At 41.0% G+C, this 27,873-nt stretch overlaps 1 protein-coding gene across 6 annotated transcripts in view; it reads left to right on the plus strand.

Annotated features, from left to right (window-relative positions):
* The window catches only part of CUL1 (cullin 1), a 103,355-nt gene that overhangs the window by 17,185 nt on the left and 58,297 nt on the right, over positions 1-27,873 (plus strand). For all 6 annotated transcript variants that reach the window (NM_001370660.1, NM_001370661.1, NM_001370662.1 and 3 more), the window contains exon 2: positions 15,022-15,322. In NM_001370660.1, coding sequence (NP_001357589.1) covers positions 15,183-15,322 — 140 coding nt within the window. In that variant the 5' untranslated portion in view covers positions 15,022-15,182. The remainder of the gene's footprint in view (positions 1-15,021; positions 15,323-27,873) is intronic.

Raw genomic sequence — 27,873 nt, forward strand, 5'->3', positions numbered from 1 at the left:
GGTCACATGATCACAGTCCACAGCAGCCTGGAACTCATGGGCCCAAGCCCTCCTCCTGCCTCAGCCTCCCAAGTTGTATCTTATTTTTGAATAAGGTATGTGGTTTTGGAAGACATGATGTTTGTCATGTCTGTTCATTTGCAAGTTTGTTGTAATTATGCTTGTATACTGGCTTTAGAATTTAAAAGGAAAATTCATTTCTCATTCCTACCCATCATTGTATCATGGTGAATGGGGTAATAAGTCATCACGTTCTCTGAGTCAGTCCTGAGGATCCTCTTGTGACAGCAATGTTGGGAGAGGCAGGTATCTGGTGATTTCTGCTAGCAACAGAGTCCACCATTGTCTTCTCACCATCGTGTTGAGCGAGTCGTTTCCATTTCTACTTGGCTGCAGCCAGGTTTCATTGCTTTCTACTCGTTCAGAGCTATGTTCTTGAAGGCCGTGGCTCCTGGCACTTACCACAGTCAGTGACTTTTCATAATAGACCTTTTCCTTGATTTACCTTCAACCTTAACACTGTCGAACTAAAAGTTTCATGGATGAGCCTCCTTTGGCTTGCCTTCTGTCCTCCTGGTTCTCTTATATATTCTGTCTCTTGCAAGCATTCTCTCTCCTTTTTGGGAGGGGTGGGAGGCAAGGGACTACTTTGCCCACGTCCTTTAAGCACAAAATTTTAGTCCTCATCTCTATTAAGTTCTTTCTTCACACTTTGAAGATTTTTGTTTGCGCTGTTGCCAACAATTTTACTTTTTTGTCAGTTACTAAATTTATTTCTACAGGTGTGATTTCCTTTGGGCTACAATTTTTAAACTGCCAACCTTTAAAAAAAACACATTCAACTTATCTAAAATTAAGCTCTTCATCTTCTTTCTAGTTTCAGGCTTCTTCTCGTAACTTATCTATTTCTGTTAATCCTCACTTTCTTATATAGAGTTGTTCCTCTCTAACTCCCTTTACTCCTGGGGTTTTGCTAGTATGAGAATTTTTAAACTGAGTGTTTAATTTAGTGATACAAAGAATTTCATATAAATACACTTATATGTCTGGATGATCATCCTGTAATCTAGAACTGCCATGATATTTCGTACTTGTGAGTTCATATTTATTTACAATTATATTGTTGCCGGGTAATTACCTAAGACAGAGGCTATAATTGCTTGAGATCCTGCAGGCCACATATGGCTCCAAGATGTTCTTCTAGATTTTACAGTACAACTTTTTGCTTTTTTTAATCATAAAAAATGTCAAAAGTGTAGCAAACATGTCCATTCCTGAGAATTCCACATGCTAACACATGCAGACATCTTCCTATTTAAGATCTAGTAGTTATAGACTTTATATGTAACTACTATAATTTCAAGGTGTTGATGAGCATAAATGATACTGGCATGTCTAGCATGGAATAATGAAAATCTTTGTGATTTCTTGCTGACGAAGTTAGACACTTTGCTAAAAGTACTGCATCTGTTGCCTGCATTCATAATCAAAGGAACTGTCAAATTTCCATCAGAGGTTAGTGAAAATAAAGATGTAATTTTTTGTCCCATCTACATTGAGAAGCCCCCTGAAATCCGCCCATGGACCCCACTGTAGTCTCACTTCCACCCTTCTCCCACACTGTTTTCTCCTTCCGCCATGGGTAACCAATTTTATTAGTGTTCAGTTTAGCCTCCCAATTTTTCTTCTTGAAAAGAAAAATGTATCTACACTTACGTGTTAGTATTTACTCCCATCACACACAAAAGGTGCCTGTTTTCAGTTAAGTGTCTGCTAAGAATTTACTTTCTTATCAGTATGTGGAGGTCCTTTCTTTTTTTCTTAACAGTTTTCATCATTGCGCAGTGCTCTATTGTCCTAACTTAGTCTTCCTGTCCCCTACTGATAGATTTGGGGCTGATTTCAAGTCTTTTGCAGTGACAAAACTTGAATTTACCACTTCTCGTGGCTTTGGCTGCACATTTTGGGAATAGATTCCTAGAAGTGGATTGCTAGGTCAAAGGGTAAATGCATCTGTCATGTTATTAGATCTGGCAAATTCCTGTTCTTACCATGGAACATTTCTTCAGCAATAGCTATGTTGTTTTGAATTTTGTTTTTCATTTTTGTTTTGTTTTGTTTTGTTTTGTTTTGTTTTGAGATGGAATCTCGCTCTGTCACCCAGGCTGGAGTGCAGTGGGGTGATCTCTGCTCACTGCAGCCTCCACCTCCAGGGTTCCAGCAATTCTGCCTCAGCCTCCTGGGTAGCTGGGATTACAGCCACCTGCCACCACGCCCGGCTAATTTTTATATTTTTAGTAGAGATGGGGTTTCACCATGTTGGCCAGGCTGGTCGCGAACTCCTGACCTCAGGTGATCTGCCTGCCTGAGCCTTCCAAAGTGCTAGGATTACAGGCTACCATGCCCGGCCTTGTTTTGAATTTTGAAAGTAGTGTCTGACAATTCTGGAATCCAGAAATAAATTGTTGGAAGTTCAAAAGTATAAATTTGAGCCTTTGTCATCCTGAATTCTTTCTTACCTGTGTCACCCCATCCGGTCTGACCAGTTACCACGATAACTGCTTTGTGTCGCCTGTGTCTTGGGCCTCTCTCTTTCCATTGCTGTTGGTCTAAGTTGAGCCGTTATCTCGGTGTCACTTGTCTTCTCCGAAACCTTCCATAACTCTGTCACCCTCACAGAATAAAGACCTTGCATCCTCTTCCCACTGACCCAGCCGCCACCTCTCATGACTTGCCCAAATCCTTCACCGGGCTCCTGTGATCAGTTTTCTGCCTCATGCTTGTCTTCCCTTGGACATCAGCCTCCCTGTACCTCTACTGCTGTTCAAATCCTGCTCATCCTCTGAGAAACGCTCAAAGCACACATTCTGTAAAGGCTTCCTGATCTTGTAGCCTGAAACGACTTCTTTCCCCTATTAACTTGTATTGCCATTTTTGTCTGTATGTTTAATATGGCAGCAAATCATCCATGCCATATGACATCTCTTCCAATACCTGCAGGCAAAACTTTGACATTCGTGTTTTCACCTGTTTATATATTGTTGCAGGGGAGTATAAACCCCTCTCTATTGGTAATGTCTTACATAGCATTTCTTAAAGCTAACTTTCTGGTAGAATACTCAGTAATACTGCTTTTAGCGCTGATACCAAGACCCATATGTACACAGAACCTGGTTGTCTTGGAGAGATGCATTCCTTTCTGTGAATGAACTGAATTTGAACCATAAGATTTACAGCTAGCATGCTTTAAGTCTGTTCTTTGTTTTTTCTTAACAACTTTATTGAGATTTAATGCACATGCTATAAAAGTCACTCATTTAAAATGTATAATTCAGTGATGTTTAGTAAAGTTAGAGTTGTGTGGCCATCACTACAATGCAATTTTAGAACATTTCCATCACCCTGTAAAGATCCTTTGTGTCTCTTTGCCGTCACTCCCCATTCCCACCATCCCCACAACCCCAGGCAGCTACTAACCTGCTTTGTCTCTATAGATTTGCCTATTCTGGACATTTCATGTAATAAATGGAGTCATATGATACGTGGTGTTTTGCATCTGGCATTCATTTAGTGTTAATATTTTTGAGGTTCATCCACGCTGCATCAGTACTTGATTTTTTTTTTATTGCCAAATAGTCTGACTACTTGGCATTATTGTGTGAGTGCCTCACATTTTGCTTATCCATTCACCTGTTGGTGGACATTTGTGTTATTCCACTTTGGGGCTATTATAAAGTGCTGTGAACATTCATGTACAAGTCTTTGGGTGGATGTATGATTTTTTTTGTTTTTGGGGGGTAGATATCTGGTAGAATAATGGGGCATGTGACAGATTTATGTTGAGTGAACATGGTTTTTAATGCCGCAGATGTTTAATTATTAGCTTTGGGTAACAACAGGAACCAGGCAATGCAAGCATATGTGATAAATTCAAGTCTTGAGAATTTGACTTGGAATTCGTTATTTGAGAAGCAGAAACCATTTCTTAATTTGAGTATGTGTTTATTTTTATTTCTCTGACTTTAGAGCCAGTGGACTTAAAGGTTTAGAATGGCTTTAAGTAAGTAGAGAGAAAACTTAGCTACTGTTGGCCGGGCGCAGTGGCTCACACCTGTAATCCCAGCACTTTGGGAGGCCGAGGCGGGCGGATCACGAGTTCAGGAGATCGAGACCATCCTGGCTAACATGGTGAAACCCCGTCTCTACTAAAAATACAAAAAATTAGCCAGGCGCGGTGGCGGGCACCTATAGTCCCAGCTACTCGGGAGGCTGAGGCAGGAGAATGGCGTGAACCCGGGAGGCGGAGCTTGCAGTGAGCCAAGATTGCGCCACTGCACTCCAGCCTTGGTGACAGAGCGAGACTTCGTCAAAAAAAAAAAATAAAATAACTTAGCTACTGTCTCTAGGAAGCCATCTATTAGGGTGTTAGTTGAAATTTTTTTATGCTGCTTGTCAATTTTAATTGTTTGAATGAGAGTTTCCATAGTTTTATATAGAAAGGGATAGCATAAATCTTATAAATAAGTGCAAATTTTTCAAGCCTTGAATTTCAGTAACGAACTTATGAAGTCTTATCTAATTAGATAATCCTTCTTGGTAGATGTCCAAATACTGAATGCACAGGTTCTTGGTCTATATTTACAAGATGCTGGTCCCTGTCCTGGCATCTTTAGTTAAAGAATTTTCTTGATTAAAAACTGTAGAATAATACAACATTCAAATAGTAACCAGCGAAGATCCAACAAAGTAGAGCTTTAACTAGCTTTGGACATGTAAATATAAATAAAAGGCAAGCTCATGAATTCGCTAGTTCTTCCCTGAACTATTCGTTGGCAGCAGTTTGGACGTGTCATTACGTATTCATATCATGAAGCTTTCACCTGTCTTTTTGCATGCTTCCTTTTGAAGCCAGGTTGTAATGTCAAATGCAGGAGTAACTCTTGGTAGCACACTTCTTAAGGAGGTGGAATGAGAAACTCCTACCTTCTAAGGAAGCAGCATGGGTAACACCTCTGAGCCTGGGCTTCCTCATTTGTGAAACGTAGCTTGTACATGCAGAGAATATACTTACTGTGAGGAGTAAATCAGTGAAAGCATTAAAGCTGTTGTACAGAGTCTAGCGTAGCAGCTACAGTAAATATTAACTCCTTTCTTTATATAGTTAATAAGCTGACATGGAACAGTTGTACTCAGTGGACATTCTGGAGGTGCCATGGGTGTGGGTAAATAAAACGCAGCGTATAGAAGAAGGTCCCTGCAGTTCATTCAGTTAACAGAGTGAGTGCCTGTTTGTGTTTTAGAAATTGTGGGGCAACAATATGGAGGATGGATTGGAGGGGACGAGGCCAGTGAAGACCCTTTAGTTAGTGAGCCAGATGGGAGTTAATAATGCCTAGACTCCGGCAGTTGGGAGTGTAAAGAGAAGTAGGATAAGAAGGAGATAGAATTCATAGAACTGATTTTTCATCAGGGGTAAGAATAGAGAGGAATCAAAGCTGATGGGAAATGCAGAAGGGGGAGTGAGTTTGAAGGGAGAGAGACCAGTCCAGAGGCTAAGCATGACCCTCAGTTGAAAGTCTTGGTAGAGGGAATGGGGAGGAAAAGTGAGATTGCACGCAACATGAGGAAAATAGATAGGATTAGATATTTGGGCAGTTAGTAGAGAGGGTGGTGCTTTCGTAACTCCTAGGATTCCAAGCTGGGCAGCTGAGGCTTCTGACAACTAAGTCAGGAAGAAAGGCAGGGAGAGAGGAGTTCTGTGTTGAACTTGTGAGTCTGTGGCTTTTGGAAGATCCAGCGGAAGGAGGAGGAAGAGCTAGAGTGAGGAGCAGCTTGGAGTTGTCGTCGAGGGTTGAGCAAAGTAGAAGGTGCCACAACAGATCTGGTGGCTTGTTGCTGGTTTCTTACTCCTGAAATTATTAACTTGAAACTGTAGAAATGTATTATTAAAATCCTCAACAGAGGTTTTTGTTACATGAATATATAGCCTAAAGCTTCAGTTTTCTTGCCTAGGCAGTTTTACCTAATATTGGCTGTACACTTAAAACTCAGGTTGGCTGTATTAGCCTCTTTTCTTTTCAGGCATTCCATTCATTTAAAACTTAAAGGGAATTTAATAATTTCTTGTGGAATTCAAGAATTTCTGAGCTTGAACTTTCCAGTCTCAGTTCTGAGTGGCTTAGAGTATCCTTTAACGTGCTAAATTGTTTTCTTATGTATGTAGCAAATAGATCACAAGAGAACATAGCATGTTCCATGTTAAGAAGCAAGCTTACTACTGCAGTGAACACCCGCCAACCCATTCCCCACTAAGAAATAGAGTATTTCCAGTACTGTGGAAGCTCCCTGAGCACTTCTTCCCAAACCCATCGTTACCCCACAATATTTTAATTGCCTGCCCCTCACCCTAAATGCTTTTGCTTTTCTATTTTTACTTATGCTATATAGGTTTGCTGAGGTTTTTGTTAGCTTTTTATTATGGAAAGTAGAAACTGCAGTGTACCTGTCTCTCAGCTTTTTTTTTTCTCTGCAAAATTTTAAAGTAAATCCCAGGCATCATATCATTTCAATCACAAAAATATGTATCCCTAGCTAGTATATATATTTTTCAACATATGTACAATGAAACCACAGTAGCCAGTGTTTTAAGCAGATAAGTGTGTGTGGTTCACTGTGGTGCCTTCCATTCATGTCGGGGAGAGCTAACCTCTCCCTTCGTAGAAGTACTCTTTTAAAATTAATCTTAGATATAAAAATGATATACTGTATATATTCCTTTGTCACCTTTTTTTTTCACTCAAGACTCCAGGAATTCACTTGTGTTGAAGCGTGTAGCTGAAGTTGGCTCATTTTGTGTGGTCTGTTGTGTGACTGTCCTACTGCTTAGTTGTGAATTCTCCTGTTGGTGGACATGTGGGTTGTTTCCAGGTTTGTTTGTGTTTTGCTATTATAAACAGTGCAGCAAATGCATGTGTTTGCATATTTTCTGGCGTTCATATACAAGAGTTTCTGTAAGTCTAAATTGTTTTACTGTCGGTTTCATATCTTATGTGCCACACTGCAAGTAAAAGCTTAAAATTCTTAAAGTTTTAATAAGTTATATTCTGCTCTACTGTATATTTAGGAATTATCAAAGGAGTGAGATTAGGAAAATACATAAGGTGTAATTGGTTAGATAGGTGATGAAGAAATGCTTGGCCCTGTCCAGTCTTGGGACCATGGCTGAACCTTGCAAAGCAGAAGCTCTTCCTTCCTGAAGCTGGAGGTTTGAATCCTCAGTGGCTCTCCCTGTGGTCACCGACTAACACAGGCCATCAGGTCATCTTTCTGTCATCTGCACTAACGAATGCCCTCAGCTGCCTGCTACATCCTCGGATTGGGACTCCCCACTCCACTCCCCTCACTTCTTTACCCACCTCAGTTCTTGGACCTCTCTAGAGTCCTCATCCATGAATGCGAAACTCCTCCATAGCCGCTTCTCACACTGCTTCAACCCCATTGCTCTTCCATAAAGACCAAGACCCCTTAAAGCCCTCTCCAGATGTGGCTGTTCCTGTCCCCCGCCATCCTGCAGGCCTCCAGGCTGCAGGCAGGGGTCCACCTCCTCCTCATGCGGGTTGACAGCCGTAGACCCAGAGAAAGACTCTGGAGTTCCTCTCTGCACTAGCCATTTCTATCCCTACAGTGGTCATCTGCTAACCACCAGAGTTCAGAAATTAATTGGACACTTTGGCACAGCCCAGAACCTTCCTCTCCACTCCTGAAACCTATTATTGGAGATGGTTGCAGGCCACCCCAGGCTTCAGCCTTGTTTCCTTGAGCTGTGTTTTGTTCTAGTCATTTGCAGGTGGGGCCCTGCTGAGCCTTCCCAGCTGGACTGTGGCACTCCCACAGTGCCCCTTGATTGAGAACCCTCTTCCCAGCCAGAGGCAGGAAGAGGACGAGGCACATGAGCCTGGTTGGCATCATGCCCTAATCATGCCCTTTGCAGCCTTCTTACTCCTTCACAGCCCACATGCTCAAGGTCGTCTGTCTTTTCTGTCCCTCCCCACCTGTTCCAGTTAGATTTCTACTAAAGTAATAGTTAGCATTTTTGAAACAGTGTTGGCTTGTTTAATCCTCACCACAAACCCATGAGGTGGGTTAAGAGAGATGAAAGAACTTACAAGGTCACACAGTTTTACGCAACTGCTGCCTTTTCTTCTCTTGGCTTCCAGGCTTGGGTTCCTTCTCTTTGTGTCTGGCTGTACCTTTGCAGTTACAAACTCTATGGGTTCTCCATCATCTTGTCAGTTTTTAAATGTTACTCAGGACTCAGTTTGGGCCGTCTGTCTGCCGTATTCCCCTGAGGAACTGTGGTTCCCAGGATCAGGTGGTAAACCCCAGAGATCAGCTGTGTAGGGCCACCTTCTCTTCTGTGCTGAGGCCCTGTGTGTCCAGCTGCTTGGGATGATTCACAAGGACCTCAGGTTCACACATCCAAGGACAACTGCCCTCCTGTAGAGCTGTTCCTCTCTGATGTTTGCTGTCTTGGTAGATGGCATCATAGTCAATATCATATTTATCAGATAGGTACATACAGGTGTTTATCAATCACTCAAGTAAGCAAAAAGTAAATACTTATAAGGCTGCTTGTTGCAGTATTATAATTGTTAAAAAGTAAATACTTGAAAGCTTTTTGTTAGGTACTGTTATTGATAAATAATAGAATATATGACTCACCAAAAAAAAAAAAGAGGTATATTTCATTAAGTGAAGTGAGGTATATCATTTTTAAATGAAAAAAGTTGCCGAACCAGTGTGCGATTGATCCCCAAAGAGCTAGAAGTCAGTAGGGGTCAGCACAGATCTTTTTTTTTTTTTCTTTTTAAAGCCATGTTCCTTGAAATACTGGAGTTTTCTTGAATTACTACTGGTCTCAAGATACGTTCAGGAAAAAATATTTCATGGCTAAGTAAGTTTGAGGGAAGATGTTTTATACTGTGTTTTTCTGATGGAAATTCATAAGACACGTTCACTTATCAAGACCTCTGAAGTCTTCTAGCAAACAAAGTATTTAACTTCACTAAAGCTAGTCATCCCTTGATGTTCAGTTCAGTTGATGTTGCAATTAGTGTTTAGTGGAAGACTGTTGTAAGTGCTCTTTTTCAAAAGCCCTTCCAGTATGTATGGATGAAACTGAATTACTAATATCAAAGAAGATATATTTTTCAGGAGTTTTGCAGGTCATTTAGTTCACACTTCTACTCAGTGAAGGAATCTTATGCACCGTTAATCTTGAGAAACAGCCTGTTTGATTAGTTCACAGTTGGAATTGTTAGGGAGCTTGTTTCATATTGATTCTGTTGGCTTTCATCTTCTTTTGGAATAACAGTCTTTTCTGTGAGACAAGTTCTTAAATATATGACTGCTTTTCTTCTGTTAGACCTGTTTATTTTGACTGTTGTGTTCCATTATTTTCCAAGGGTTAGATGAAAGTGAAGTATAACTGTGGCGCGTGTGTGTGTCTGCACGCGTGTGTGTCTGTGGTAAAAACTCATGCGGGCTCCGGGAGCCAGCAGCTAGTGTGTGTGTGGAAGCACAGCTGGCTCTGCCATTGCTTCTTGTCCTTGACTAATTGCATCTTCTGCCTTGGTTTCCTGTCAAGAAAATGATAATCCCTCTCCGGGGATTGGCCGTCTAGAGAACACTGAAGTTGTGAGGGGCCCTGTGGCTGCCCCTGCTGTCGTCCTGCTTCACTCACCAGCCACCTGTGTGTCCAAGTCAGGAGGTGGCACATCTGCAGGGTACACGCCCGAAACGCGTGGACATTCATAACCACACTTGGCAACTCCTGCGATGCCAAGGATCTCCTATACCTGAGTACTTTTGAAAACTACCTGATTTCCTAAGTATATTTTGTTTTTTTGTTTGTTTTTTGTTTGTTTTTAATATCTTTAGGTTTGGGGACCTCCTAGGTTTTCTAGCTATGAGACATGATTTATGAGGAAAATATTTTTACCCCTTACCTAAAAACCATTTGAACCTCTCTGACTTATGAAATCTGCTTAAGAGTGACATTTTTTGATGGCTTGATTATAAGATATGGATATATAGTTTGTAAAGTAAAATTCAACATTAACAGAGAAGCAAGTGTTTTGTGGGCACCTGTATTCTATTTTATTGTCCCAGGCAGTTTTACAATCAGTTCAGTTCACCAGACACTTGAGTGACGCATCAATAGATTAAGCATGGGCATGCAGCGCACATGCGCGCGTGTACACACACACACACGCGCGCGCTCACACACACACACACACACACACACACCCGTACCCCTCTAAACTGGAAAACTTCATTGCCTGAGCCTCTTGTATCCATTGGAGCAGGCTGGTAGATACACAGGTGACACACCCAGATGCCCCTTCAAGGAAGGACTTGACTCCCAGTGTTAGCGCCATCGGGCCTCAGCTGCAGAGCTGCCTGGACCGGGCTGCACCCTTCTCAGCCCAGCGGGAGTTAAAGGCCTGGCCTGCAGCCCATGTGAGACCCTCTGGCAACGCTTGTTACAGAGTTCCCTGCCAGGGTGATGCTGGCTCTATAGGGCCTACATCACAGTTCATCTTTTCTCTGCCCCGTCTGCTTCCTCCTTGTCATCTCGTGGGTGCCCATCTCTAAGAAGCATCTTCCACCCAAGCCAGGTCTCAGCATCTGCTCCGAGAGCCCTGCCTGGGACCTCCTCACAGGTCTCTGTTGCTGCCCAGCATGTGTGTGACCTATCTGTCCTTTTAGACATTTTCATGATGTGCCTACTTCTAACATTTCCTTGTAGACGTTGTTTGAGGTTTCTTTGCTGTATTAGTTATTAATGTTTTAAGTACATAGGTGAGGCTCTTTAGGGGATATCAAAAATGTAAGATTAGGTCATCCTCTTTAAACCCGCCCACTTAAGTATGAATTTTTGAAAACCTCAGATCATCTGTGCATGAATTTTAGATACTCAGTGGGAACAACTAGAAAAAGGGAATGGATAGAGAAGAATAAATCACATAGCAGCAGGAATAGAAGATTTTGCTAATTTTTCAGCATATTTGGAATATAAACTGAGGTGTGATGTGGCATAAAGTTACCATGCATAGATCTGGACACAAAAAGTGTACAGCAAGTAAACTTGACGAGTGTGACATGAAAAGTTGTATTTGATCTCATAGATTAACAGTACGTTTTAATAGAGTAAGATTCATAATTGGAATCAGAAATGTAATAAAAAGAATAGAGAATATGTAAAGAACATATTTGATGTGCTTATGCTGAGACAGGAGAATGGAGGTGTTATGGAGAAAAATCCACATTGACCATTTTATTTGGTATATTTTAACTTTGCTAGAGGATAACTGGTATCTTGACTTTATCTTTTAAATTGTCCTGATTGTTGCACAGTTTATCTTGGTTTTTCAAAAGTCAAGCTTTAAAAAAAAAAAAGGGCTTTCTTAAATTTCAAAATATCTGAGTAGATTTAATACTGATACAATTAGGACTGACTTATTAACTCTTTAAAGCTATCGGCTCTTTTAATTGGAGATGTTGAGGTTTCCTCATTTAACAAATAGGCAGTTGTTGGTGGTTTTTTCCTATGACTTACAGTGGTTTCACTGTTTTGACACTTTAAAAACGGAAGAACCTAAAATTCAGACTAGAGTGTACTAGTTTGTGGTCCTGCTACTTTGTAGCATTAGAAGCTTGCCAAGTTTGATTGCTTCTTTGAATTAGTTTCTTCATCTGAAGAGGAAGGGTCAGAACTATCATTAAGGTTAACCTCTAATTGCCAGTGATTGTATTTGGCTCTTAAGAACAAATGCTTTTGGTACACAAATGCATAGCACATAAAGTAACATGACGAAACCCCATCTCTACCAAAAAAAAAAAAAAAAATTTTTTTTTAAATTAGCCAGGCATGGTTGTCCTAACCTGTAGTCCCAGTTACTTGAGAGGCTGAGGTGGAAGGATCACCTGAGCCCAGGGGGTTGAGGCTGCAGTGAGCCGTGATCACGCCACTGCACTCCAGCCTGGGCAACAGAGTGATACCCTATTTAAAAATAAATAAATAAATAAGCATGCTTTATTCCGTCACTGTAGCATTATGAGCGTAGACGATGTCTGTTTACCATTAAGAGTAAATAATGCCTAGGACAGTGCCTGGCATATGGTAGCATCCTACTAAATATTCGTTAAAACTAAGTAGTCACTAAAATCCTGTAATTTTCGTAAGCCTGTTTAAACACTGTGTTGGGGTATGTATACATTTGCAGTGACCAAAATAATACAAAACATGACTAAATGAAACAGCAAGACATAAATTTTAGCCCAGAATCCAATATTTTAAGGAAAAAGTTTAGAAGAAACGAGATAGAATTTTGTAGAGATTCTAAAGAGGGATTTTGAGCAAGTTCAGATGCTTGATGATACTGGTATTTTATTCCTAAATCTTTTTAAGACATAAAGCTTTTCAATTCCTTGATTTATTCCTTCATTTATTTATGTAAAATATGTATTGAGCGGCATGCCAGGCTCTGTATGAGGTTCTCATGAGCCTGTGGGGCTTGCACCCCGGTGAAGTCAGGGAGTTACAGTAAAGAAACAAGTGCAGGTTTATGGCCTGGAGTAAGTGTTAAGAAGGGAAAATCCCATTTAAAGCAAACCTGTACGTCTTCTGGGACTTCCTAGTAAGCCTCCTTTGAAAGTATGACTGGAAGGCAACTTGAAGAAGGGGAGGAACTCTCTAGAACTCTCTAGGCAGAAGCAGTAGCAGATGCAGAGATCCTGTGGCGGGGAAAGGAGACTGAGGTGGCAAGGGGGGACATCTGTGTGGCTGAACCTGAGGGGAGGGAGGGGGAGAGTTGAGGTTTTGTGAGAGGCAAATGAAGAGAGAAAAGGATCTGATAGTGCCATATTAAGGATTTCCCTTCTTCAGACTCTGCCTTGGCTCCCTGTTGCTCTTAGGGTGACAGCCTATTCAGAATTAGGATGACACCGTCTTAGGATGACAGCGATTTTAGACAGCTGACGGCCATGTCAAGAATGATACAAGCAGACACAAGGTATTGGAATCTAGTTTAGACAACTAAAATAGTCGCCCAGGTAAGAGATGGCGAGGATGATTACTAGAGGAGGAAGTGGAGATGAGCTAATGCATTTGAAATGAAGTCCGTAGCAGTTGAATGTGAAAGATGAGGGCTGTGGCATCAGACTCATTCCCAGGTTTCTGACTTGTGGATACATGTGGCATTGCCACTCGCTGACACGGACAACACTGATGGAGAAAGGCATTTGGGGGCCAGAGTAGAACTTTTTTTTTTTTCAGTTGCTGATAGAAATTATAAGAGAAGGAAAAGGAGTAAAAGAGCATCTAGAGAGGTATGAGAAAGCTCATCCAAGACAGAATTAACTGGACTATGAGTTTGGGAAATTTAAGTGATTATTTCCCCTTAGGGAAAAATTAAGTGATGGGGAAAGTAGGGTAGGTCCAAACAGTTGATGCTATCAGATGCACCACCAGTCCAAAACATGGTTATTATTATAGGTGTGCTGTTAACCCTCCCCAAGTAGATGATGAAAGGAAAGCACATGGAAACTACACATAGGAAACATTTCCAGAGTGGTTGCTGAGTTGTTAGTTTCTTAAAACTTGAGGGAGTCCTTGTGTTAAATATTTTTATATTCCACATTTGAACATACCAATTCGAATGTAAGACATAAAATACTTTCAGGATCAGGAATGATGTTGTAGATTCATAAAATATTAAGACCCATAGCCCAGAATATAAATAAATATTAGAGAATAGGTTTCAGTGGTTCAGACTTACTCCTTAAGCATGACCTCACAGGGTCCCTAAATGTGCCTTAGTTTACACAGAGCTCTGTAATGCCATTGAGGATATAGGATGAGCTGAATTACTTGACAAGGTAACTGGGACATAGGTTTGCAGGCTTTGATAACCTAGCCTCATTGTTCCAGATCTCGTTTACTTCCCAATAACATTTGCTTTATGAAACCATTCAAATAATTCAGTGTTTCTTGATTTACACTAGAAATAACTATTTAAAACCTTTACGTTTTGATGTGACGTACATAGGTAGTCCTTAAATTATGTCTGTGATACTGTGCATTGAGAAGTATTGGTTTGATACAATATTGAATACCTAAGTTACTTTATTTATGTGTCCAAGATGCTGAAGCATTATATATTGTATTTGTCATTATCTTCATATACTTGGAAATAATAGCCACTACCATTGTTAAGCATTTACTCTGTGTTAAGTATTTTCTAATACATTATCTTATTTAAACTCTGCATATCCATTTGAGGAAAGTAATTGGCCTCCATTTTGCAGACTAGGAAATTAGAGCTTAGAGAGGTTAAGAAACTCACCCAGTAGCACATGTACCTATCTAGTAGATGTGGCACTGAGCTTCAAACTCAGGTCTCTCTGAATTCAGAGTACATTTTGAATCTTGATAATTCTTGCCAGATTCCCTCCTTAAAAAGGGAGTGCCTATTTCCTTTTATTTTCAGCCTCACCAACATTTGCATTCTTGCTGAGTTCTAAGTGAAGAGCTACTAAAAGTCATAGGTAACCCGTGAGATTGTATGATTTTTCCTATTTATTAGCTGTTTGTGTTCCTGGGAATTTCCTGAGCATATCCTTTGCCCTTTTTTCTTTGAGTTTGTCTTTCTAATTGTCATCTAGGTCAAGTGATATATATTTTTGATAACTTCCGAAGGCAAAGGAAGGCAACATAGTTGTGCTTGTGCAAACTTTTACCCAGGTTTTCTCTTGAGTGCTGATATCATAATGATTTTGAACTAAAATTCTAAGCGTATTTTTGTACACAGACCATATGGTTAACATGAATGTGTTTGCACATAGAAAGAGAAATGGTCTCTAGAGTGGGCCCTGCAGACTGAGTTTTTCTGTCAGTGTGTCTCACCTTATTACAGTACCCCAGAGACAATCCACTGATTCTCTTTATTTCTTCCTCAGGTTTGCCTGCAATGAGATTTCATTCTCTACATTTAAAGGACATCCTTTCTGAGCTGCTGTGAATAAATTTGGAATGGTACTGTATATTTTCATCTAATGGAGAACTAGCTGTACTTTGAATAAGGATTGCTGCACTGGACGACTTTAGAACATCCCTCACAATGTCGTCAACCCGGAGCCAGAACCCCCACGGCCTGAAGCAGATTGGCCTGGACCAGATCTGGGACGACCTCAGAGCCGGCATCCAGCAGGTGTACACACGGCAGAGCATGGCCAAGTCCAGATATATGGAGCTCTACACGTATCCTCCTGCCTAGCGCAGGTTGATTGCTTAGAGTTTTGATTATTTACTAGTATGACTTATGAATTATTAGAATTTTATATTGTTTTCTCCTCCCAGTTCATCATGTAAAATAATCGCAGGGTTCATTTTTAGCCTTAAGTTTTTGAACAGAGTAGAACTGGTTCATTTTTAGTCAAATGCAGCACTGGGCAGTACAGTCACCACTGGGCACATGTGGCTGTTTACATTTGAAATATTTTAAAGTTCCTTAGGCACACTAGCTGTGTGATTAATAAATAAAACATTTCTGTCATGTAGAAGGTTCCGTTGGGCAAAGCTGGTCTAAAGCAAGGTCCTGAGGTTCTCAGCAGATCATTTGTTTTACGTCCATTTGTTTATATATTGTCTATGACTGCCTTGTGTTATGGGAACAGAGTTAAGTAGTTGTGTCAGAAACAGTTTTGTCCATGAAGCCTAAAATATTTACTACCTGCCCTTTTACAGGAAAAGTTTGTTTACCTGATCAAAAGGGATAGGACATCGAGCAAAAGTTTTCCTGTTATGGCCCTATTTTTTTGTGTTTTTGAGACAAGGTCTCGCTCTGTCACCCAGGCTGGAGTGCAGTGGTATGATCACAGCTCACCGCAGCCTCAACTACCTGCACTCAAGCAATCCTCCCATCTCAGCCTCCCAAGTAGCTGGGACCACAGACACGTGCCACCACACCTGGCCAATTTTTTTTTTATTGTTTATAGAGACAGAGTCTTGCTATGTTGCCCGGGCTGTGGCCCTATTTTTTAAAGTACAGTATTTAAAAAGAATTTTATTCCTTTAGTTTTTGGTCCACGATGTGCATGGGGGACTGTGCTGTGTGCCACAAAGGTGATGAGGGTGGAAAAGATGCGGCTCCCACTATTCGTGTGGTTGGAGATGCACCAGCTAATTTGGAGGCTTTCTTGATTCCATACAAATATGACATTGAAATTAGAGTTAAGCTCACTCAGGAGAGAGGAGATTGCCACTGTTTCTAGGACTTTAAAGTTGCTGATTCAACGGAGCTTCAGGTTTAAAGTCTTCAGGTTTGATAGACTATATCAGTTCTATCAAACTAGTTTTTGTGATATTCCAGTATGTTCTTGCATGTTAATATTTTAGAATCCTAAAAAAAATTTAAGTAGATATAAAACTATGTCAATCTCTGAATTAGCATAAAATGTGTGTTTGCATATTTATACATGTATATACACTTACATATAGAATACTTTTAAAATAATAGCTTTATTGAGATGTAATTATGTACCATAAAATTCAACCTTTTAAAAAGTATACAGTGCAGTGGTTTTTAGTATATTTACAGAGTTTTGCACCTATCACCACCATCTAATTTTAGAACATTTTAATCACCCCAAAACGACACCTTGTACCCATTAGCAGTCACTCCTCATGCCCTCTTCCCCCGAGGCCCTGGCAACTACTCATTTACTTTGTCTCTATGAATTTGCCCATTCTGTACATTTTGCATACATGGAGTCATATGATCTGTGGGCTGCCTATGTGGCTTCTTTGACTGAGCATGCTTGGAGGCTTCATCCTTGTAGCGCGTATCACTGTGTACGTCATTCCTTTCTGTGACTCAGTTGTATAGCTAGTCTACATTTTGTTTGCCCATTGATCAATGATGGACATTTGGGTTATTTCCACCTTTTGACTGTTACTAATACCACTGTAAACATTGTGTGCGAGTTTTTGAGTGGCTCTGTGACTTCTGGTCTCCAGGGTGTGTATGTAGGAGTGGGATTGCAGGGTGCTATGATGGGTAGGTTGCTTTTAAAGAAGATAGAGTCTTTGCCAAGTGAGAAGATATTATGCCCCCAACAGGGTTCTGGCTTGCTAGGTATGGCATTTTCTTAATTCTTGTAGGAAAGCTGAAGGTGGTAGTTCCACTGGTGAGGGAAGACACTGGTGGGATTTCTGATGTACAGGAAGCAGGAGAGCACTGCTCCAGAGCTCAAGGAGGTGTCATTGTTGATCTGTGTCTGGAGAATTTCTTTTTAAAATCCACCTTATTGAGATGTAATTAATATGCCTTGTAAGTCATCCATTTTTTTTTTTTTTTTTTGACAGAGTCTCGCTCTGCCACCCAGGCTAAGTGCAGTGTCATGATCTCGGCTCACTGCAACCTCTGTCTCCCAGGCTTAAACGATCCTCCCATCTCAGCCTTCAAGTGGATGGGACCACAGGCACGCACCATCATGCCCGGCTAATTTTTTTTTTTTTTTCCTAGAGACTTTCACCAAGTTACCCAGGCTGGTCTCAAACTTCTGGGCTCAAGCATTCCGCCTGGCTTGGCCTTCCAAAGGCTGGGATTACAGGTGTGAGCCACCACGTCCAGCCTTGGGAATTTCTTAATGTGTTCTTTTTTAAATCAGGTTGGTCCTTTTTCTGATGGGTTATTTTTGCTCATAAGGCGGTGAGACTTTGTATGCTAGCAGAAGTTACTGAATTCTTGTATTCTACAAATAATTAAATTCGTATAATTTGTAGTTGTTTTGGTACCTGCAACTTTAATTTTTTTTAGGACTGCCTCTCAAATTGGGTAGTTTTTTTTCCAGTTTTGTCTGAGAAATAATAGCTCCATATATTTACAAAAAATTGGAGAATCTAAACCAAGTCTAAAATATCTTTCTTTAATTCTTTAGACATTATAATGAAATAATGGCTACAGCTGTCAGGCTTTGTGCTTGGAACCATCCACACCTCATTAAGCCTTATCTCACCGCGGGCTGGTGGTAGTCACCTTTCTCTGTGGATAAGCTCCAGGAACCTGGTTGTACAGCAGCCAGTGGTGGTGGTGAGGCGGGTCTTAAGGTTCTCAGCAGTCTGACTCTAGAATTGCCTTTAGACACTCTATGTAGTCTTCAGCTACTGTATTTGAATGGATCACATTTCTCAGAGTATTACATTTCTATATTTTCTTTGAGAAGTTGTGAAGAAGTATTTTGATTAACTCTTCAATGTATTAGGGTAGAAGTGAAACAGTAGAGTGTATACTTATGTTTATTAATTGTTGAAAATCATAAAATATAATTTTACCCCCTAACTCTTCACATATCTTTTCAGCATCATTGTGAGAACTGAAAGAATTTTGAGTCATCTGTCATGTTTTTGTAGAGCCATCTTCACTTAAAGCCATTTACGCATAGTACTCTTTGGAATTGCGTATATGTTGCCATTATTGCTGTTTTATTCCAGCCCAGGTTGCATAACAGAGCAGTTTTTCAGAAGTTTTCTCTTACTGGTGTATATTTGGTCATTTTAAAATAATCTCCTAAAGGCTTGCTCGCTGTGACATCTAATACTTGCAGTTGTAAGGTTGTGTTTCAGGGAAGGAGGTGCTTTGGACCGGGGAAGAAGGAGCTGGCAGTGCCTCTCACTGTTCTAGTATCACTCTGCAAAATTAGACATGCCTCATCAGCAGTTGGCAAAGGAAGTGGGTTAGAAAGGAAAACTGGTTGAGAGAAAAAGGAGGGATTCTTTTCCTTCCCATAACTCTGGCTAGTAGTTAACAGCTAGATTTTTACCCATTGTCTATCCTGGAGGAGAAAATTGTGTGTTTTTTTTAGAAAAAGCAACTACTTCTTGCTGTAAAACAAATATTCTTGGAGGCTTTAGGAACCTGTGACATTTGTGGTTGCTGTAGCAGAGAGGTGGGTTATTATACAGCATAAATATTTATCTTGACTTTTCAACTCAAAATGGTGAAAGAAGGGAATTTTGGAAAAGCCAAAAAAAAAAAGAAAAGAAAAGAAAATGACCAGAGCATCTGCAGACAGAAAGATCCACTTTAGTTAACTTGGTTTTCAGCCATTTCTCAGACTTGGTTTTTCTCCTAAAGTTTTAGCCTTAAGCCATCACTCTTCACTGTGAGTCTGTCTGTTAAGCGCTTCCAACTATTCACTTCTAGTTTTCTATGATGTCTTACATGTGTATAGTTACCATGCAGCAACTGTGTGTGTGTGTAAGACAGAGTCTCACTCTGTCAACCCAGGCTGGAGTGCAGTTGTGGGTTCATGGCTCTCTACAGCCTTGAGCTGGGGTCAGGTGATCACCCCGCCTCAGCCTCCAAGTAGCTGGGACCACAGGTGCACACCACTGCATCTGTCTAATTTTTGTATTTTTTGTAGATACAGGGTTTCACCATGTTGCCCAGGCTGGTCTCAAACTCCTCGACTCAAGTTATCCGCCCACCTGGGCCTCCCAAAATGCTGGGGTGACAGGTATGAACCACCGCACCTGGCCTGTTTTTCTTGTGCAATAAAATACATAGAGTAAAATTCTATGCAGGTGGGTAAATAATACCAGGTTTCTTTCCTTTTGAATTTGAAATAGGTATTGGCATTTCTTATTCAATTTATTGACACCGCTATATTTCAGGTGTTGTGCTTAGGTTGGAACACAAACATGGGTGCTGGCTAGAGGAGAGGTATTTAAGGGGATGCAGTGAAGTATGAGAGTCCGGCCTAGCTCGTGCAGGTGTCAGGTCACCTGTTGGAGGTTTCTGTTCATTGTTCTGGGCTCCAGACCTACCTGTGTCTTGTTTCCAGGTCAGGTACCTCAGATTCATAATTTTACCTTCCCTTGGAATCAGTTTAAACTTTCATGTTGATGTCTTTTTTTTCTCTCTACCTGAATAAATGTTCATGAACTTTGACGTTTCTATTTGTCTTCCTGTACATTGCTGTGGCCTGAATCAGTTTGTTCTGTTCCTTAGCCTGTTTTTTCCAGTCTTCTTTTCCCCCACTAGCACCGTAAGAATCTCATTCATATTTGAGAATGAGATTGGTTGATTTGAGAATCATTCATTCATATTTGAGAATGAGAATGAGATTGGTCTTGGTTGCTCTCAGTAAGTCATAACATAAGCACATTCAGAATTCACATTTAATTGTCTATTTTGACGTTTAGTGATAAGGTTCGTGATTGCTGGGGGTCGGGGCACTTTTTCACCCGAGTCAATCTGCTGAGCCCTTGGAGCCTGCGGCTGTGCTTTGCAGGGACACCGTGCCAGGACACGCTGGTCCCTGCTGCAGCTCTGCACCTGCCAGTTGAGCAGTCCCGTCTTGGCTGCCGCCACCACTCTTTTCAGGTCCACACTCTGACCATCGCCTTCCCTTCCATAGGAGCTGCACTGCAGGGGAGTGCTCAGGTGGCAGCCTTCCTGCTTCGCCTGCTCACTGCAAAATTCTCTCCTTTATAGAAAACCAAAATTTCAAAGAACAGCAGATCACACAGAAGGAATAACAAATTGTCTTCAAAGTAGATTAATGATGATCCATGTCTGTTTTAGAATAACCATCCATCCCAACAGATGTGTTTGGACACTTTTCATCTTGCACTCTTAATTTAGGAGTCTTACATTAATCTGATTCTGCTCACCTAATGAGCATGGCTTACATCAAATGAACCTAAACATAGAAAGTTTTCATATTTTTCAGATGTAATCTATCCTTCTCGTGTGTGTGTGTGTATATATATGTTTATCCATACTTTTAGCATAAGTCTGTAAAAGGACATACTGGTTCACAGAAGAAATGCAAATAGTAAGCATATGGAAAAATGTTCAACCTTATAACTGTTAAATGAAGAATTAGGCCAGCCATGCTCACGCCTTTAATTCCCGGAATTTGGGAGGCCAGGGCAGGTGGATCACTTGAGCTCAGGAGTTTGAGACCAGTCTGGGCAACATAGCAAAACCTTGTCTTTAAAAAAAAAAAAAAAAAAAAGCCAGGTGTGGTAGTGCATGCCTGTAGTCCCAACTACTCAGGAGGCTGAGGCAGGAGAAACACTTGCGCCTGGGAGGTCGAGGCTGCAGTGAGTCATGATCGCACCACTGCACTCCAGCCTGGGCAACACAGTGAGACCCTGTTTTTACCTATCAGGTTGACAAACATTGTTAAGAAATGACTATTACAGCCAGTGTTGGCAAGGAGACCAAGCTCTACAGTGCAGGCAGAAATGTTAGTTTGCTGTGATCTTTCTGGAGGGAAATTTAGAGATATATTTTTTTGTTTTGAGATAGAGTCTTGCCCTTTCACCTAGGCTGGAGTGCAATGGCACTATCATAGCTCAGTGCAGCCTCCAACTCCTGGACTCAAGTGATTCCACCCCCCACCCCACCTCAACCTCCTGAGTAGCTGTGACTGCAGGCGCACACCACCACACCTAATTTTTTATTTTTTGCAGACATGGAGTCTTGCTATGTTGCCCAGGCTGGTCTTGAACTCCTGGCTTCAAGCAGTCCTCCCACCTTGGCCTCCCAAAGTTGTGGGGTTATAGGCATGAACCACACAAGCCTGGCCTTTCTAGAGACATAAAAATGTACTGTGGCCCAGCAATTTATTTTTTAAACTTTATCCTAAGGAAATAGTTGTATTCAAAATTGCATGTGCAAGGCTCTTCAGCATATTTTAATAATAGGAAACAATGGAAAACAACCTCAATCTTCAATATTAAGGATAACTATAAACTGCTATTAAAAACACAATGAAGACTGTTGACATGGAATAATGTTCATAATATATTGCTGTGGGAAAGCAGGATATGAAGTGGTATGTGAATTGTGAACCATCAGCACATGCTCCTGCTTTTGAAAAAGTTTGTGTACACCATATGGAAAGGAACTGTCCCTTATAAGGTGGTGGACTTCTATATGAGTTTTTAAAAATTGCTCTTCTTTGCCTTCTAGATTTTCGTATAGAGCATGCATTTAAAAGTGCAGTTTATTAGTTTGCCTTTTGCAAATGTTAAGCCTAGTTTGCAAAGTTCTTGCTATCTTTTACTACTGACCTGGTACTATTAAAATCATTCTTAGGATTGAGAAATTGTATATCTGTCTTAAAGTAAGACCCTGTAGAAATTATGAGATTGTGTACTTGTCACAAGTGATTTTTTTTTTTTTTGGTGGGGTAGGCGGTTAGTATAAATATGGCATGTTCTTCAGCTATTTTTCAAAGTTTGATTCACGGTAATTATACTCAGAGTACTTTGAACATTATGTAACACATTTTTTAGTTCATTATAATCAATTGCAATTAGTTTTTACTTTTGAAGTATGCTATTAGATGTGAATTTATTTGCTTTGTATGGGATATTTCTTTTCAGAAATGCACGTACCCACAGACTGGACAGGACTTTATTCTTTTATAACTACAGACGGATTATACAGGATAGTATGTGAGCCTGCTGTTCTGCCATTTGGTACAGGTTAACTTGTTAATGTTTGAAGATAGGAAGTACGATATATGTGTGTGTGTGTATATATATATATTTTTATATTTATTTATTTATTTATTTATTTATTTATTTATTTATTTTCAGAGGGCGCCTCACTCTGTTGCCCAGGCTGGAGTGCAGTGGTGCAATCTTGGCTCATTGCAACCTCCGCCTCCTGGGTTCAAGCAATTCTCATACCTCAGCCTCCCGAGTGGCTGGGATTACAGGTGCGTGCCACCATGCCCAGCTAATTTTTGTATTTTTAGTAGATACGGGGTTTCATGTTAGCCAGGCTGGTCTTGAGCTCCTGACCTCAAGCAATCTGTTCACCTCGGCCTCCCAAAGTGCTGGGATTACAGGGGTGAGCCACCACACCCAGCCTAGGAAGTACTGTATTTTTAATAAAACTTTTAGTGCAGAGTCTTTCCATGTGATTTTAATAGAAGTTACTTGTTTAAATTTCCACTTCTTAAGTCGCATTTGGGAAACAAGTGGTAGTAGGAAGTGATTCTGTTCTGTTTAGTTTTGCTTCTTTGATTGAATTGGCTTTTCTTTTAGCTAATGAGAATGGTTGGAGTTTGGCAATAACTAAAAGTCAAGAATTGATTCCCCAGGTGTGTTCACTTCAGAAATAAGGCATGGTGCTGTGGGTAACAGAGACATTTGAGAATACTGGCTCCGTCATCCTGCTGCTCACTTTATATTACGTTAGTAGTAGATGCTGAACTCCAGGAAGGCAGTCTGTTGGTGAGGCCTAAGTCACACACATGGTACCTGGCACTGGACAGGTGCCCAGAAGGTGTCTGCTTGCTGAAAGGTGAGATGTGAAGCTTTGCATCTGATAGGACCCTTTCACAGTGACTTGCCCCTCCCCATCAGTACAGAAGCATGCCTTGGCAGACAACGTTTCTAGGATGACAGAAGAGTTGTAGGACCTATTTTGGAGGCTGAACCAGGCTTGGCTCTTGGACATAAACCCCTGTACCACCTTACACCATTTCCCCACCTGCCTGCGGAGGAGGCCCCAGATACCTGCTTACGTTCTCACCTGCTTTCTGGCCAAAGAAGCTTTCAGAGGACCTTCAGCAAAGAACCTCAGAGTTTTAAAAGTCAAATGTATGGGTTTGTTAGAGTCTATGGCTGCCTTAGTATAAAATACCTAATCTATTGTCTGCTGAATGAAACTTCTATTTTATTGCCTTGTAGACTTTTAATTTTTTATCTCTGATGTTTTTGCTTTTTCTTATTTCATCTTAATTCCTATATTTAACTTGTCCTCATACTGTTTTAATTTTTTTTCCCTTTAAGAATAACTTTAGATGTGACCATTTTTCTCCTAAAGATTAGTCATAGTTCGTTTTTCTACTCTTCTAAAGTAAATGATTTATGAACACTTAATTTGTGTGCATGTTGAGGCAACAGGTGGTGAGTGTGGCATTGTGGGGGGCGGTGGGTTCAGGGAGCAGCAGGAGCCCAGGCATAGAGAGCAGCGGGGAGGCTCCGGCCCTGTCCTTTCACACAGGCGCCCTTCAGGGCTCATTCTTCAGGAAAATGGCACACCTCATAATTCAGGAATACATCCGTTTCACAGTCCTTCCTTGAACATGGGGAATTCTCCCCTTCCAGATAATACACTTGAATTATCCCAATAGCGCTTTTTCCTCAGGTCTCATACCAGTGAGGTGTGAGGAGGGGCTGGTGGCCTGGACAGATCTCCCTCAGGCAGCTTCTGATCACATGAAGAGCCTGCTCATTCCATTTCTGATAACATTTCTCCATATAGTTCAGTTGATTTAAAGCTGAGATAAAAATACTGTGAAGCTAAGACTGTGTGTCATCAGAGCTATATAAGATCTGCTTTCACTCCTGCCTCTGCTGACTCAGCCTGGATTCAAAGCACAGTTGATCCTGTTCTTTAGGCGAAGGTGCCCTAAACCGGGGGCACCTCTCGGGCTGCCATGTAAACTTCGTGTCCGTTGAGCACCTTTTTATATGCTCGTTGACCATTCGTATGTCATCTTTTGTAAAGTGTCCAAGTCTTTCGCCTCCTGTTTTTTCCATTTTGGGGATATTTTGCTTTTTGTTAGTTTTAGTTCTTTATATGTCAAGGATACCAGTGTTTTGTCAGATATATTTTGCTAATATTTTCTTCAAGTCTGAGGCTTGCTAATCATTTTCTTAATGGTGTCTTTGGGTGAGCAAATGTTTACTTTGGGGAAACCTAATTTATTGGTTTTATTTTATTTTTGCAGTTATTGCCTCTGTGACATAAGAAACCTTTGCCTAGATCTCAAATATATTTTGTGTTTTCCTCATAAGACTTTATGGTTTGGGCATTTACTTTTAGACCTGTGATCCACCTGGAGTTAACTTTTGTATATGGTGTACAGTAAGGCTTAAGGTTAAATTTCCCCTGTGTGGATATCCAATTATTCCAGTGTCATTTGTTGAAAAAAACTTTTCCTCAATGGACTGTCAACTTCTTGTCAATGTCTACCCCAAAAGTTGATTGATTGGAATGGTATTGAATTTTTTTAATGGCTTTTTTTTTTTTTGAGACAGTTTTGCTGTTTTTGCCCAGGCCGGAGTGCAATGGCGCAACCTTGGCTTACTGCAATCTCCACCTCGCAGGTTCAAGTGATTCTCCTGCCTCAGCCTCCTGAGTAGCTGGGATTACAGACGCACGCCACCACGCCTAGCTAATTTTTTTGTATTTTTAACAGAGACAGGATTTCACCATGTTGGCCAGGCTGGTCTTGAACTCCTGACCTCCAGTAATCCACCTACCTCGGCCTCCCATAGAGCTGGGATTACAGGTGTGAGCCATTGTGCCCAGCCTTAATGGCTCTGAGATCTAATTCACATAGCATACAATGCACTCATTTAAAGTGTACGTTTCAATAGTTTCTGGTATATTCACAGATAATGTTCAACTGTCACATTCAATTTTAGAAGATTTTCATCATCTCAAAAAGAAACCCTGTGCCCTTTAGTTGTCACTTCCTTCTTACCCCTACCTTCTACTAATGTACTTTGTCTCTATAAATTCACCTATTCTGAACATTTTGTATACATGTAACTATATGATATGTGGTGTTATGGACTTAATTGTGCCTCTCCTCCATTCATATCTTGAAGCCCTAACCCCCAGTATATTTGGATGGTATTTGGAGGTAAGGCTATTTGGGGGAATAATTAAGGTTAAATAAAATCGTGAGGGTGGGGCCTTACCCTGATAGGATTGGTGTCCTTATAAGAAGAGGAAGAGACACCAGAGAGCTCTCTCTCCACATACACAGAGGAAAGGCCATGTGAGGACACAGTGAGAAGGTGGCCGTCTGCAACCCTGGAAGAGAGCCCTCACCAGAAACCAACCCTGACAGTACCTTGAGCTCGGACCTCTAGTCTCCAGAACTGTGAGAAAATAAATTCCTGTTGTTTAAGCCGTCTTGTCTGGTATTTTGTTATGGCAGCCTAAGCCGACTAATACATGTGGTCTTTTGTGACTGGCTTTCTTCCATTTAGTATAATGTTTTCTAACTTCATCCATGTTGTAGCATATGTCAGTACTTCATTTTTATGGTAAAATAAGATTCCATTCTGTGGATATACCACATTTTGTTTATCCATTCATCAGGTGATGGACAGTTGGGTTATTTCCAACTTTTTACTATTACGAATAGTGCTGCTGTAAATATTTGTGTACAGGTTTCTATGTAGACATATGTTTTCATTTTTCTTAGATGCCTACAAGTGTTATTTCTGGGTCAGATGGTAACTGTGTGTTTAACCATTTGCAGAACTGCCAAATTATTTTCCAAAGTGGCTGCATTATATTACTTTCCCACCAGCAGTGTATGAGGGTTCCAGTTTCTCCACATTCTGGCCAACACTTGTTGTGTTGTGTTGTATTTATTTATTTAGTTATTTACTTACTTATTTTGAGACAGAGTCTTGCTGTAATTCAGGATGGAGTGCGTGGCGAGATCTCAGCTCACTGCAACCTCCTCCTCTTAGGTTCAAGCGATTCTCCTGCCTCAGCCTCCCGAGTAGCTGGAACCGCAGGTGTGCATCACCATGCCCAGCTAATTTTGGTGTTTGTAGTAGAGACAGGGTTTCATCACGTTGGCCAGGCTGGTCTCGAGCTCCTGGCCTCAAGTGATTCTCCTGCCTCAGCCTCCCGAGTAGCTGGAACCGCAGGTGCGCATCACCATGCCCAGCTAATTTTGGTGTTTGTAGTAGAGACAGGGTTTCATCACGTTGGCCAGGCTGGTCTCGAGCTCCTGGCCTCAAGTGATTCTCCTGCCTCAGCCCCCCAAAGTGCTGGGATTGCGGGCATGAGCCACCACATCCGGCTCAACACTTGTTATTTTCTGACTTTTTGATTCTAGCCATCCTAGTGGGAATGAAGTAGTATCTCATTGTGGTTTTGATGTTCACCCTTATTGAAAATCAGGTCCACAGATTCATGAGTTTATTACTGTCATTTTGTAGTAAGTTTAGAAATTGTGATGTTTGAGTCCTCCAATGTTGTTCTTTTTGTAGATTATTTTGGCTCTTTTGAGTCTCTTGAAATTCTATATGTATTTTGGAATCAGCTTGTTAACTTCCTACAATGAAGCCAACTGGGATTCTGATAGGGATTACATTGAATCTTTGGATCAATTTGGGGAGTATATTAGTCTGTTCTCATACAGCTAATAAAGATATACCCGAGACTGGGTAATTTATGAAGGAAAGAGGTTTAACGGACTCAGAGTTCCACGTGGCTGGGGAGGCCTCACAATCATGGTAGAAGGCAAAGGAGAAGCAAAGTCATGTCTTACATGGCAGTAGGCAAGAGAGCTTATGCAGGGAAACTCCCATTTATAAAACCATCAGATTCTATGAGACTTATTCACTACCACGAGAACACTATCGGGGAAACTGCTTTCATGGTTTGGTTATCTCCACCTGACCTTGCCCTTGACAGATGGGGATTATTACAGTTCAAGGTGCTATTTGGGTGGGGACACAGCCAAACCATGTCAGGGAGTATTGCCATTTTAATTAATAATTCTTAAATCTTTCTACCTTTTCTGGTTTTTTTTTTTTTTTTTTGAGTTGGAGTCTCACTCACTCTGTTGCCCAGGCTGGAGTGCAGTGCATGTTCTTGGCTCACTGCAGTCTCTGCCTCCCGGGTTCAAGCGATTCTCCTGCCTCAGCCTCCTGAGTAGCTGGAATTACAGACATGCACCACCACGCCCAGCTAATTTTTGTATTTTTAGTAGAGACTGGGTGTTTGACCATGTTGGCCA

The sequence above is a fragment of the Homo sapiens genome, chromosome 7, assembly GCF_000001405.40.
Source record: "Homo sapiens chromosome 7, GRCh38.p14 Primary Assembly".
In the NCBI taxonomy this organism is placed as follows: Eukaryota; Metazoa; Chordata; class Mammalia; order Primates; family Hominidae; genus Homo; species Homo sapiens.